This window comes from Homo sapiens, chromosome 4 (genome assembly GCF_000001405.40).
Source record: "Homo sapiens chromosome 4, GRCh38.p14 Primary Assembly".
Classification (NCBI taxonomy): Eukaryota; Metazoa; Chordata; class Mammalia; order Primates; family Hominidae; genus Homo; species Homo sapiens.
This window is the reverse complement of record NC_000004.12, coordinates 143,612,358-143,625,045: the sequence shown is the minus strand read 5'-3', so window position 1 is coordinate 143,625,045 and position 12,688 is coordinate 143,612,358. Positions and strand designations below refer to the sequence as shown.

The following is a 12,688-nucleotide window of genomic DNA, read 5'->3' as shown; positions in this document are numbered from 1 at the left end:
ATTTCCTAACAGAGCTCAAATCTCTTGCCTCTCTCCATTTTCACCAACATTGCACTAATTGCCTGAAAAATTACTAAGAGTTCTCTTACAATCAAAAAATCACTAAACATATGAGGAAACAAGCCACCATGAGTAAGAATCAGCAAGAGGAAACAACCTTCAGGGTCAGTCTTCCAAAGGCTGCAGAAATTGAAATTATCAGATACAAAATATTCACTCAAAAATTTGTATTGAATACCTACTACCTGCCATGCACTGTCCTAATTCCCAGGAATTCATCAGTGAACACAACGGTCAAAGATCTCTACCGCCATAGAGCTCATATTCTAGTATCTTTCTCTTGAGACTATGAACTTTCTGGGGGCTGGGACAATTTCTTATTCATCTCTGAATCCCCAGCATCTGGCAGAGTTTGGCACATCAAAGGATCTCAATAAACATGTGCTAGAATAAATAAGTTAAATAAGATTGCTCTCTGTTCTCTTCTTTCTGTCAATCCCCCTTCCATGTTTTCTTCTCAATTCTATTCAATTCTGCTTACTTACACTCTCTTAGCCAAGAAAGATCATTTACAAGTGTCTTTTGGGAGCATTAAAAGAAACAATTTCTATGTTATCTACTTTTGTTAACAATAGAAACCACTTTGAAAGGAGACTATGCCTTCAGTCACTTGGCTTTATATTTATAGTTTTCTGATTTTTATTCAGGCATTGGTACCAAAGATGAAACTGCAAAAAAAGACAAAGATTTCAAATGGAAGACCAATAAACAGATCCAGTTCAATCCTGGACAGACTACAGCCACATGGAGGGTGAGAATTATACCTGACAATGAATATGAGACTTCAGAGACCTTCCAGATCATTCTGTCTGAACCTCTCATGGCTGTACTGGAGTTTCCAGAAATGGCAACGGTTGAAATTGTAGACCCTGGAGATGGTATGTGACACTGATTGATTTGCTTTATTAACCAGTACAGGTTCTTGGCTCCATTTCCAGCATTCATACTTCCCTCAGGCTCTGTAAGCCACTAAATGCGTTCATATCCATTTAGGATTTAAAGTGAAGTAAATTACTTTATAGACAATAATTTTTCATTTGCTCTCAGGATTTTTGAAAGACAATACAGGACGATTAAAATAGAGAGGATCTGTATCAGCATTCCTGTAATATATATACAAGTCCTTACTGCAGGCTTTCTGCACGCCATAGGTACGAAGCAACTCTGCTCCCAGATGGCTAATCCTCAGGGCTCATTTCAGGGCCACCATCTTTTCACAGTCAGATCAAATGGGGACTTAGATATCCATTGTCCTAGATGTGGCTCCTGGATATCAGCCAACTCATTTGTTTTAACATGTGTTCCCTGAAGTTCTGTTATTATTATACATAATATCCTTGAATTCATTGGTTCGTTTTTTGTATTCATTCTTTCAGCAAGTATCTCCCCAGATAAATTTAAAGGAAAAAAAATCTAAGCAGTAATCATGCTGCTTGCTGCCCCTTTTTTTGGAAGTAGAAGAATATTCCCTAAATGGTGGGGGGGGGGGGGGATTAGTATTCATCTTTGAATTTCAATTAAGCACATTGATTATACACAGTAGTTAAAAGAGGTCATGTAGCACCTGGAAGTGCATAGCTTACAACTAGGGAGCAGGCCTTAAGTTCCACAAGACTTGATGAAGAATCCCCTGCATTAGTGTGCTCTGAACTACGTAAGAGAATGTTAGTGTAATAGACATCTACAGGGGATGGAAAGCTTTCCATGATCAAACAAGTCTAGGAACTATTCCAAATTTCATCCCTCTTTTGAGGCATCATAATTCATGTTAGCATATTAAAGATTCTGAGAAACTCTCCTATAAAGAAACCCATTTAATTTTGTTTAATTTTTCCAAACTGGACTGTGGATTTTCTTTTCATCATCTCCAAGGAATATCTTTTAAAATCTCTAAGTTCCAGTTTTCTTAAAACATAATTTGAGAAGTAGTGTTCATATGCTCTGCACTTTGGCAGATACAAAAGAAGTAGAAAACACTGCCCCCACCACCTAATGAACAAGGTATCAGACCAGTTTTGTTGAGAACAACACTTTGATACATGAATCAGTTATGAAGTAAATGTAAGACACATGGGAGAAACACTAAGAGTTCAAGGAGAAGAACATAGATCATCATGGTCCCAAGTAATGAAGGCTCATGGAAGAGGCAGGGTTTGAGCTGAATCTTGAAAAGTAAATGGGATTTTTATTAGAAGGCAGATAGAAACAGGCTTTCCAGATTGGAAAAAATAGAGGGCATGACTGAATAACTTAGTCCTATTGTATCAATTTTTTCATATGACATTGATAATTTTAATTTACTTTTAGCTTCTTCCATGATGCCAACGTTTTGAATCGAAAGGTGTCAAGATAGTAGACTACCATACAGGTAAAATGGAGGAAAGAAAACTATCACTGGTCTTTTCTCCCTGTGACTCAGGGCCAGTGTCTTCCTGGAGGTTGATACTTATATCTGCTGAAGCTAATGTAGGCAGGAAAGTAAAGAAGAAAAAAATTAATATACAATAGCTAGATAATTTAACATTGAATTCTGAATTATCATTTAGTAATAGTTCCAAAATGGGAAAAAAAAAAAAAAAAAAGATGATTGCCAGCCGGGTGCAGTGGCTCATTCCTGTAATCCCAGCACTTTAGGAGGCCGAGGCAGGCAGATCACTTGAGTCCAGGAGTTCGAGACCAGCCTGGCCAATGTGGCGAAACCCCATCTCAACTAAAAACACAAAATTTAACCAGGCCTGGTAGCGCATGCCTGTAATCCCAGCTACTCAGGAGGCTGAGGCACGAGAGTTGCTTGAACCTGGGAGACAAAGGTTTCAGTGAGCTGAGATCACGAAATTGCACTCCTCCAGCCTGGGTGACAGAGCAAGACCCTGCCTCAAAAAAAAAAAAAAAAAGGTGATTGCCTACAATCTTTTCCCTTTTTGCTTGCATCACTAAGAGGAAGAATCTACATGTATATGTAACATAAAGAAAAGAACTGAGGAAATTAAATGTGGTTTCATAGATAGTTACTGCAGTTCTCCACTTCACACTATAAGTCGGAACAATCTCCTCTAAAACTTTGTAAACAAACACCTATATTTTAATTGCACAGTGCATGCTTAATAAAAAGCCTTAGAAAACATCTAAAATCTCTCCCCACCAAAGTAGTACACATAATCCCATCAACAAGACATGACCAATATTCATACTGATATTTCAATGAATGTTTTGATTATGTCTAGGTGTATGCACACACACACATACACACACACACAAACGTGTGTGCACATATACACAACTCAGTAAATTTCAGCAGCAATATGATCTTTAAAATTGAGGGAAGGACCTGTAGCTTATTTTTCTCAGCATATTAAATGACCAGCACAGTGTCTGCTCAATAAATGTTAAATAAGCAGTTTGTTGAATGAAGCATGAAAACAGTTTTCTTCATTAATGAATTAGATTACTTGATTGTTAAAATATTAAAAAATAAACAGTAAAAGTAAAGCAAGTACATAAATATGTGATCTCCATTTAGAAGACTTAAAATTTGATCTCAGAAGAAAAAAAAGACATGAAATTGCTGCAAGATTTTTGTTTTCCTTTTTAATGCTGGCTGTCCTTTCTAACCTTTCAAAAGAGGTCTCCTAAAACCCAATTCCAATGCCTCTCCAGCTCCACTCAATAATAAATAATGCTTCCCATTCTCACTATATTTAATACAGTTAATCATGTTGGAAAATATAAGAGTCAAAGGCTTTGTACATTTCTGCTCAGGTGTGTTTAAATATCACCGATCAAATCTAAATCTTGGTGAAAAGTCTTCTGCCATCTTTTCTAGAATCAACAGTTTATATTCCAGAGGCGGAATACAAAATAGAAGAGGACATTGGGGAACTTTTGATTCCAGTAAGACGATCTGGAGATGCAAGCCAGGAACTAATCGTCATTTGCTCCACACGTCAAGGTATGAGGCTCTGTGGGGTCCTGTTCATAGGAATAAGATGATGAGAACAAGACTGTGGTAATGCTGGGAGTACCACAGAGGGTGAGCAAAGCAGAGTTAAGATGCTGGATGCCTGGGCCCCTCATTGTCCATGCCCTGCTGCGAACCCCCTTTCCTGACTCTGTGCAGGTGCCCTACTCCTCTGAGCTGGTCTCCTCAACCAGGGATAACGCTTTATTCAAAATTGGGATTAAAATATCTATTTTAACTACCCCACGAAGGGGCTAGTCAAATGAGACATTTGTGAAAGTCAAATGAGACATCTTGTGTCAAAAGAGTTTATATATGCTAGTCAAAAATTTATAAATTAAAGATTCGTATTTTTAATAGTCAGCATTGCCTCTGGGCAATATTGTAAAATAGTCTGTATATACTACTCAGTTTCTCTTCTCCTCCTCTCTCCCCATCTCACAACCACAGATGCCCCCCAACCATGAGTTCAGGCATCTTCGCACCGAAAACAAGTTTCCATTCTTTTTGACCACTTCTATACAGCCAGATTTAGCTGTCTCATGTCTCATCCCCTCAGGATCATATTCTCTAACATCTTATTAGCAACTATGCAGAAAACGAAAATTACGGAAACAAATGAAGCCCACCCAAATGACAACAAGAAAAGGCTATTTAGAGCTCGCTGTAGTATGTCAGCCACCATCACTTTCATGTGGCAGAGACTCGCCCCAACAGGCAGAAGCATGAGAAAGCTTTATAGTGGAAAAAGGAAAGGTATCAGGTATGTCCTGATTGGAAGCTGTTGGCCTGGGAATCTGGAGATTGGCTCAGTAGAAGCAGGCATCCTATATGATTGGTTATGAGGGCATATTTGGCTCTCTGTGGTTGGTCTTAAATTAGAAGTGGGAGCAGAAATTAGGGAAGCTGGCAGTTATTTAGTAAGTCTTGACCATTTGATTGCTGATTGCTACAGAGGTGGTGGCTTGGCTTCCTGGACTAATTGCTGCAGATTGTGGGTCAGAGTTCTCTTTTTATGTATGGTATGGCCATTTTCCATCTGTATATTCAGTCTCTCAAAATCAGTGCTCCTACTTGTTGATATGTCAGCAAGGGAGAATTTATTCCTCCAGCTTTTCTTCCTCTCCCAAACAATGTTTTGGTTTTTTTTTTAAATAATACCCCCACAACATTGTTTGTAAACACTGATGGTGCACTAATCATTTAGTAGGGGCAGGCAGTACCTTGGCAGATGGAAACTTTAATAGTAGGGCCTTGAGGTCCCCAGCAAAACACAGCATAAAACTAGTTGCCTCCTTCACTTACCTGTAGTCATGTTTAGTATTTGTGAATTATTAGTAACATACAAAGCATGAGTCTGCTTTCCACTGCACTGTGTATGTAGCTCATGTTCATTTTATTTATGAAAATAAGTAATTGTTAAACATTTACTTTAACATGACTTCCAGAGATGTTTAAATAACCGAATTGAACTTTCATCCTATACATGGGGAGTAGGTGAGGACAAATACCACAATGGCACACGATATGAGTATGAGAAGATTTACAACGTTCACACTTATAATTCTGTTACTGGCCAGGTTCATTCTGCTTGCGCACAGCAAGACAATCACTGTGGTGACAGGTTTTGCAAAAGAGAAAAAATTTCCTTCACAAGGCTGCCATACAAAGATACAAGAGAACGAATCAAAATTTGGGAGTACTTATGAAATAGAAAGCAGGGTCTTCTAAAGCATGGGGAAAGGTGATTGGCAAGTAGGAAAGGTGAGGTAATTGGGGTTTCTGTGCAAAACTAATCAAGCTACATGGTAATTCATAGGACACATATGCACAAAATGGCAGTGTTAGCATAATCTGAGGTTGGAGCTTTTGGCCCTCTGACATCAAAAGATCACTCTTTGGGCACTCAAGCAGGCCCAGTTAAAGGTCAGTGGTCTCGACAGCTTGAACTGGACAAGAGCTGCCCCCTAGTTCCTGAAAAACAACTTTAAGCAATGTTATTATAGTCCCCACAGTTAGAGATGTTATCTATAAGGAAGCTAGTGGGAGTTTAGTTATGCATTGTTTGGCTAAGTGATTTGCTAGTGGGAGTTTTTTGTTGTTGGTTTCTTGGTAGGTTGGGGGAGGATTTTGAGACAGGGTTTCACTCTATCACCCAGGCTGGAGTGCAGTGACTCCATCACAGCTCACTGCAGGATCAAACTCCTGGGCTCAAGCCATCTTTCCACCTCAGCCTCTGGAGTAGCTGGGACTACAGGCACCAACCTGTATGCATGGATAATTTTTAAAATTTTTTGTAGAGACGAAGTTCTCACTATGTTGCCCAGGCTGGTCTCGAACTCCTGACTTCAAGTGATTCTCCTGACTTGGCTTCCCAAGGTGCTGGGACTACAGGTGTGTGCCACCATACTTGGCTGCTAATGGGAGTTTTACCATAAGCCATAAGTAAGCTGTTAAAAGCAAGCAAGGCAGGTTAAGTTTGGCAAACTTAATCAGCTTAGCCCTCAGTTTCAGTTCCACCAAGAGATATGCAAGAGTCAAGATGCTACCTTGCATACAGTGGCTTAGTGTTCCAGGAAGGGCCCCGACCCTGTTGTATCCTATTTTTTCTTTTTCTTTTTCTTTTTTTTAACCACAAACATGAAAATACCTTCTTATGTGGGGATCTCGGGGTCAAGGCTCAGGTGTCAAGCAGTCTGAGTTGTGCACCAGCTATGCAGGGAGTTTTCCAGGCATGCCAGCTTTCACATCTGGAAATCATGTGGGAAGTTGGATTACATAAGGGAATCTTATGAGAAGCTAAAGTTAGGTGTAGCCCTCCTACTTGGGGAAGCAGCACTCCTCCATCCTAGCTGACTCCGTGCCAGACACTGAGCCTCGCTATTCATTTGGATGGTCCTTCTGCAGCATAGCTCTTTCCAAGGGATGAACAGACAGACACTCGGTGAATTTTTCTAGCGTAGCAATTACATATGATCTATTCAACTGGGCTGTTTACCATCTCATCTCTTTCATTCACATCTAAGAGACTTTAGCACCATTGTCTGCTGGACACTTTGGTTGTAGACAGAGAATGTGTCACTAATACCAGAAGAAGCCCAGCTTGAAGCCCAGAGCAAAGCATGAGTACACTTTCTACAATAGCTGGTCTGTCCAGCCTCAACCACACCCCGTAGCTCCCACATACTTGCCCATTATTGCAAGACCCAAACTAGAGCCCCAGTGCACCAATGGAAGAAAGAATTAGGCACATCCTTTCAGTGATCAGCTAGCTAAGGAGAAAGGCCTCAAGGAGTACCTCACCTAGCTTGTTTTTTCTCCTCTTCACTTTTTCCTTCCCAAATGTAAAACTAGCTTAAACCCAAGAGTTGCTAACATTATATGGAGCTGGCTATATCTGGTGCTTTCAAGAGGAAATCTTAGTTAAAGAATAGGCAATAAGCCTATCTCTGGATATATAGCCAAACGCAACAAACATGAAGATCTTGAAGATGCATTACAAAGGTTTGTCCTTGTAGTTGGTTTTAAATATCTTAAATTATCTGTTTACTGCCAAATCCTCTGTCTTCCAGGGCAGAGGAGAATTTATTCTTGTTCCTCTTCTCAACCTTGGCACCATTAATGTTTTGAATAACTGTTTATTGTGGGGGCTGTCCCATGCTTTGTAAAATGTTAAGCAGCATCCCTGGTCTCTATATACTAGATGCAAGTATCTAGCATCTAGACGCATCTACCACCTCCATCTGTGACCCCCAAAAATGTCACCAGACATTGCCAAGTGTCCCCTAGCAGGTAAAATCAGCCCAACTGAAAACTCTTGCTCTATAATGAAATGTTTTAAGCGCAAAGATTCTTTAAGTAAAGACTTGGAAATTAGACATTTCTCGGCATTATTTCATTCTTAAGAAAAATCTCATCCATCTTTTTCTTCTCATTAGTCACTCTCTTGTTAAAAAACTGCCTTATTGGAGGAACAGCCAATGAATAGCAAACCACAGAACCTAAAACCAAATGAGTAGGTACAGCATTGAATCATCCTGTGGTTTTTGGTCAGGCCCAAGTCAAATACGTTGCGGTTTTTAATGATCTACTCTATCCAGTTAAAAAGAACTGCGTAGTAAACCACAAGCCATGGACCTCGCCCCACTTCTCCGATTGGATTTTTTCTGTGGGTCATCCCCTAAGATGGAGGTAGAAAACAGATGATTCTTTTTTCTTTCTTCCTTTTTTTTTTTGAGACGGAGTCTCGCTCTGTTGCCCAGGCTGGAGTGCAGTGTCGCCGTCTTGGCTCACTGCAAGCTCCGCCTCCCGGGTTCACGCCATTCTCCGGCCTCAGCCTCCCGTGTAGCTGGGACTACAGGTGCCCACCACCACGCCCGGCTAATTTTCTTTTTTGTATTTTTTTAGTAGAGACGGGGTTTCATAGTGTTAGCCAGGATGGTCTCAATCTCCTGACCTCGTGATCCGTCCGCCTCGGCCTCCCAAAGTGCTGGGATTACAGGTGTGAGCCACTGCGCCCGGCCAAAAGTGGATAATTCTTAAAGGGTTCCAAGCATGTCCAGGTGAAAGACTTTCTTTTTTCTTTCCTTTTAAAAAAGATTCTCTGTGTTGATTTATTTAGTTGTAGATGTGTTCATAGGTTATAGAAGTTAAACTTTGCATCTCAGACGGTTTGGGGGGATTATAGTTTTCTGTTCCTGAAGTACAAATCATATGGTTTAAAAGTCCCCTTACTGAAGGTTTTCTGGGCGTAAACTCTCACCATTTTCTGTTTATCAGAACATGTCTTTATTTCAACTCCAGTCTTGAAATTCTAGGTTGGTAGTAATTCTCTCCTAGCATTTTAAAGTTATTATTCCAACATATTCTGGCTTCCATTGTTAAGCACTTTGTTTTTCATCTAAAAGTTGTCTTTGTAGAGATGTTTTTTCTATGCATCTAAAATCTTACATGTATTTGATCTGAATCTGTGAAAGATCTGAGGGCTTCACTTGAAAATGTTTTCCTCCAAGAAAGGTTTGCTTTGCTTACTCCAGGATTCAGAGGGTACTACTGATCCAGACACACTCCTGCTGCCCTGTATCCTCAGGCATAACCATAGCTTCCAAGTCAGCTCTGTGAGGTGCCCTTGCCCAAGGCCTGTCTCCACCTGCAATGGTGATAGTGCACCTGCTCTTGGGGGGATACCACCTTCTGAATGGGAATCCCTTCTATGGGTTATGGGATTTCAGGTTGGGGGAGGGTTTTTATGGTTTGTTTTAGTTATTTTTAATTTCAATTTTGTTTTGTTTGTGGGTTTTTGGGTTTTTGTTTTTTTTTTGACACTTGACGATATTCCCTACACTTGACGATATTCCCTATGAGAACAGAAAAGCCAGAATCATTATTTTTTCTAGTTGTTTTTTACTGTACGGGCATCCCAGAGTACCTGACTGGCCAATCTGCTGGAAACAAAAGTACCAAAGTCCCCTCTAGATAGACGCTCCCATGCTGCTCCAGCCGAGCCTTTGCTACCCTCCTCCTCTCTCCTCTGGTTCTCCCACCACCCTTCAATCATCAGCCCTCCTGGGGCATGAGGTGACTTGTGCCTGGGGTCCAAAAGCCTCCTGCTCCAATGAGGTGTTAGCTGCTGCACTTTAAAGAGGGTGATTGCTTGTCTTGCTGTCCTACTAAAATGTACATATTAAAAGAAAATTGTGTGTTTAAAAGAATTTATAATCAACTAAACAAACAACTAAAGACAATGTGAGAAAGTAAAAAGTGCCCCAGGCTGACTATCAGGAGATGGGTCTTTGACTCCTTGGATATCATGGGGCATTCTCTGCCTCAATTTTCTCATTGATAAAACGCCCTGGCCACCTCATAAAGTAACCAAACAACATAATATAATGATTTAATTACCCTTTAGTGTAGTTCCTTAATAGGACTTTCTCTCTGATTTTAACATTTATGATTTTTGTAAAGCAAATGTAATATGTAGCCACAGAGACTGAGCCATAAATACTCTTTTGTAAATAAGTTATTAATTTTTAAAGTAACTTCACAAATTCTCAGGCTGCCAGTGAGGTGAGGGAGGCCTGGACAGGGGCAATCGATGCCATCATCATCATGGATAGAGTGGTATGCTGGATCCAGCTAGTAACTGCTCCTGAAAGCTGATTCTGTGCACCTCTTCCCTACTCTATGCTCAGTGACTTCACATTGATAGTTGAAGTTGGCTATGATGGGAATATTAATACAACAAAAATCAGCAAAGTTTGCAAATCAGCTTTCGCGTGCCTTGTTTGGAGAGCACATCACCATGCTAAGGGAGGGAACTCCTAGGTTAACATGAAATGAATCTTTGGTTCTAACCCTTAATTTTGGAGAACTAAACCCATACCCATTAAAACTGTCATTCATCATGCCTCATAATCTACCTCTGCAAACAATGAATCTTTAATATTTCTCACAAAGATGCTATGCTCTACCACTGGTCAAGCCACCCAAACAAGGCTTGAGACCCAATAAGTGTCTTTGATACCAGCCTGGAAATCATAAATTTATACTCCTTGAAGCCTCTTCACTGTAAAATACGGGATATGTACAGACAATCGCCAGGGACCTTATCTTTTATCTCAGAATATATTTGATGTTTTCAGAACAGAATTTTTCCAAGTCCTGAGGATTCTTAACTTGTTGCAGATAAAATATTGTTTGTTTTTTACTTAAATGAATGTCAGTATTCACATTCTTAACTATTGAATATAACTGCTCAAAGAGTTGCCCAAAGTAAATTTTCTAGAATCCTAAAAGGAATGTTCCATTTAGATCAACTGAATTTTTTTATTAAATACAATTTACTTAGACAACTTTTTTCACCAACTCTTGTTTAAAAATCTTGCTAAAACATATTGTCTTGATTTCTGCTTTAGCAGAGTTCAATCGCCAAATGATTTTCAAGAAGTATTATATTTCAGTCTTTCATTTAACCCAGAAATCAACCTACTTGAATGTCATATCTATGTCAACCAGTGGATTGGTCAAATATAAAAAAAAATTAAACAGAAAAAGAAAAAATCTCAATTGCTTTTGTTTCATGAACTACAAATAAATCATTATTTGAATATTCATTAGGTGACATATATTGAGAAAGAGGTTTAATACAGATAGTTATATTTAGTGAAGATAGTGTTAGTTACTATGCGAGCCTAGTGTCTACAGTATCTGCTTTTGGCATTCGTCCTGAGGAGTTAACATGCAGTTTCTGACAAGGTTCTTTGTCATATAGCCTGTCATACCAACATAATGCACACTTGATGGCTAGGCAAAATTGAGAACTGTGTTCTCCAAAGGTATAGTTCTGTTTAAACATCTGGCTCTTTAAAAAGACATTCCAAAAGTTGTATGCTATTTAATCAGATTGTTGTAAGAGCTTAAGACCTTTTTTCCTTTGTCTGTGTGCCAGGAACACAGAAAGTCTCCCTGACAGTGTTTCATCTCATCTTGAGAGCCTTTCTATATTGCTAACCACTTACCTCTTTCCCCATTTAACTGGAGAGTGCCTGTCTTAGGCATTCAGTGATAGCACTATGTCTCACATCCCAAGAGCCAGCCTATCCTGGTTGACTTGAGTGTGGAGACCTTTTTCATGCATAGGTTTCCCCAGAGAAGGAATCTCATGAGATAATAAGGTTTCAAAGCATAGACCGCCACTGAAACTCAGCTAGCTTCCCCACCAAGTGATAGTTCCCCTTGTGCCTGTCCATTTTGATCAGTTTCTGCCCTCTGCCCTAGCAAACACATTTTGTTCTCATCAACTCTCCAGCTCTAACAATTTTTATGATTCCAGGATAACGAAACAGTCAATTTGTTACTTCCGAATAATTCTAAAATTTTTGTTCTTTCAAAAAAACCATTCTGAAACACTTTGTGAGTCAGTGCCCTTCCGAGCAAAACATCTGAAGTCGGTTGGAGCCCACTATCATTTTTTAGCAACTTAGATCTATACAAGCAACATGCAGTGATGGACACCAACTTGTACGGATGTTTAGATGACAGTGGGCATTGGTGTCATCTTGCATATGTGCATTTACCATAGCTGTAAGCAAGAAAGACTCTTACAAGACTGGAGCATCCAGTCCAGAATCTCACTGTCATCTCCTCATTGCTTCTTATTAAAGTGAGGTATGGTGGGAAATATTTATACTTTTCAAAAACTTCTTATCTGGTATAATAGGTTATTATTTCATAGTCTTTGTTCTGCCTAAATCTGGTCTGCCTAAATCATTTAAATTACAATGAATACTGTTCAGTCTTTTAGCCCTAAACCTATGTGTTGCTGTTTTAAAACTGCAAAAATGCATCAGAACCTAGCAATCCTACTCTTAAGTATTTATTCTAGAAAAAAAATTATTGGGTTGGTGCAAAAGTAATTGTGGTTATTGCTATTAAAAGTAATGGGAAAACCGCAATTGCTTTTGCAACAACCTATACATACCCACTCAAAGACTCGTACTTGAATATTCATAGAAGCATTACTCACAATTGCCAAGAACTAGAAATAACCCAAATTATCAGCCAGTAAATAGATAAACAAACTGTGGTATAGCCACACAATGGGAAACAATAGTCAGCAATAAAAGGGAAAACATATCATGGTACATGGATGAATCTCAAAAGCATTGTGCT

General features: G+C 39.4%; 1 protein-coding gene across 1 annotated transcript in view; it reads left to right on the top strand.

The window, feature by feature from the left end:
* FREM3 (FRAS1 related extracellular matrix 3) overlaps positions 1 to 12,688 on the top strand; it is a 123,374-nt gene that overhangs the window by 75,630 nt on the left and 35,056 nt on the right. The window contains exons 4-5 of the mRNA NM_001168235.2: positions 708 to 938; positions 3,884 to 4,009. Of these exons, the coding sequence (NP_001161707.1) occupies positions 708 to 938; positions 3,884 to 4,009 (357 nt within the window). The remainder of the gene's footprint in view (positions 1 to 707; positions 939 to 3,883; positions 4,010 to 12,688) is intronic.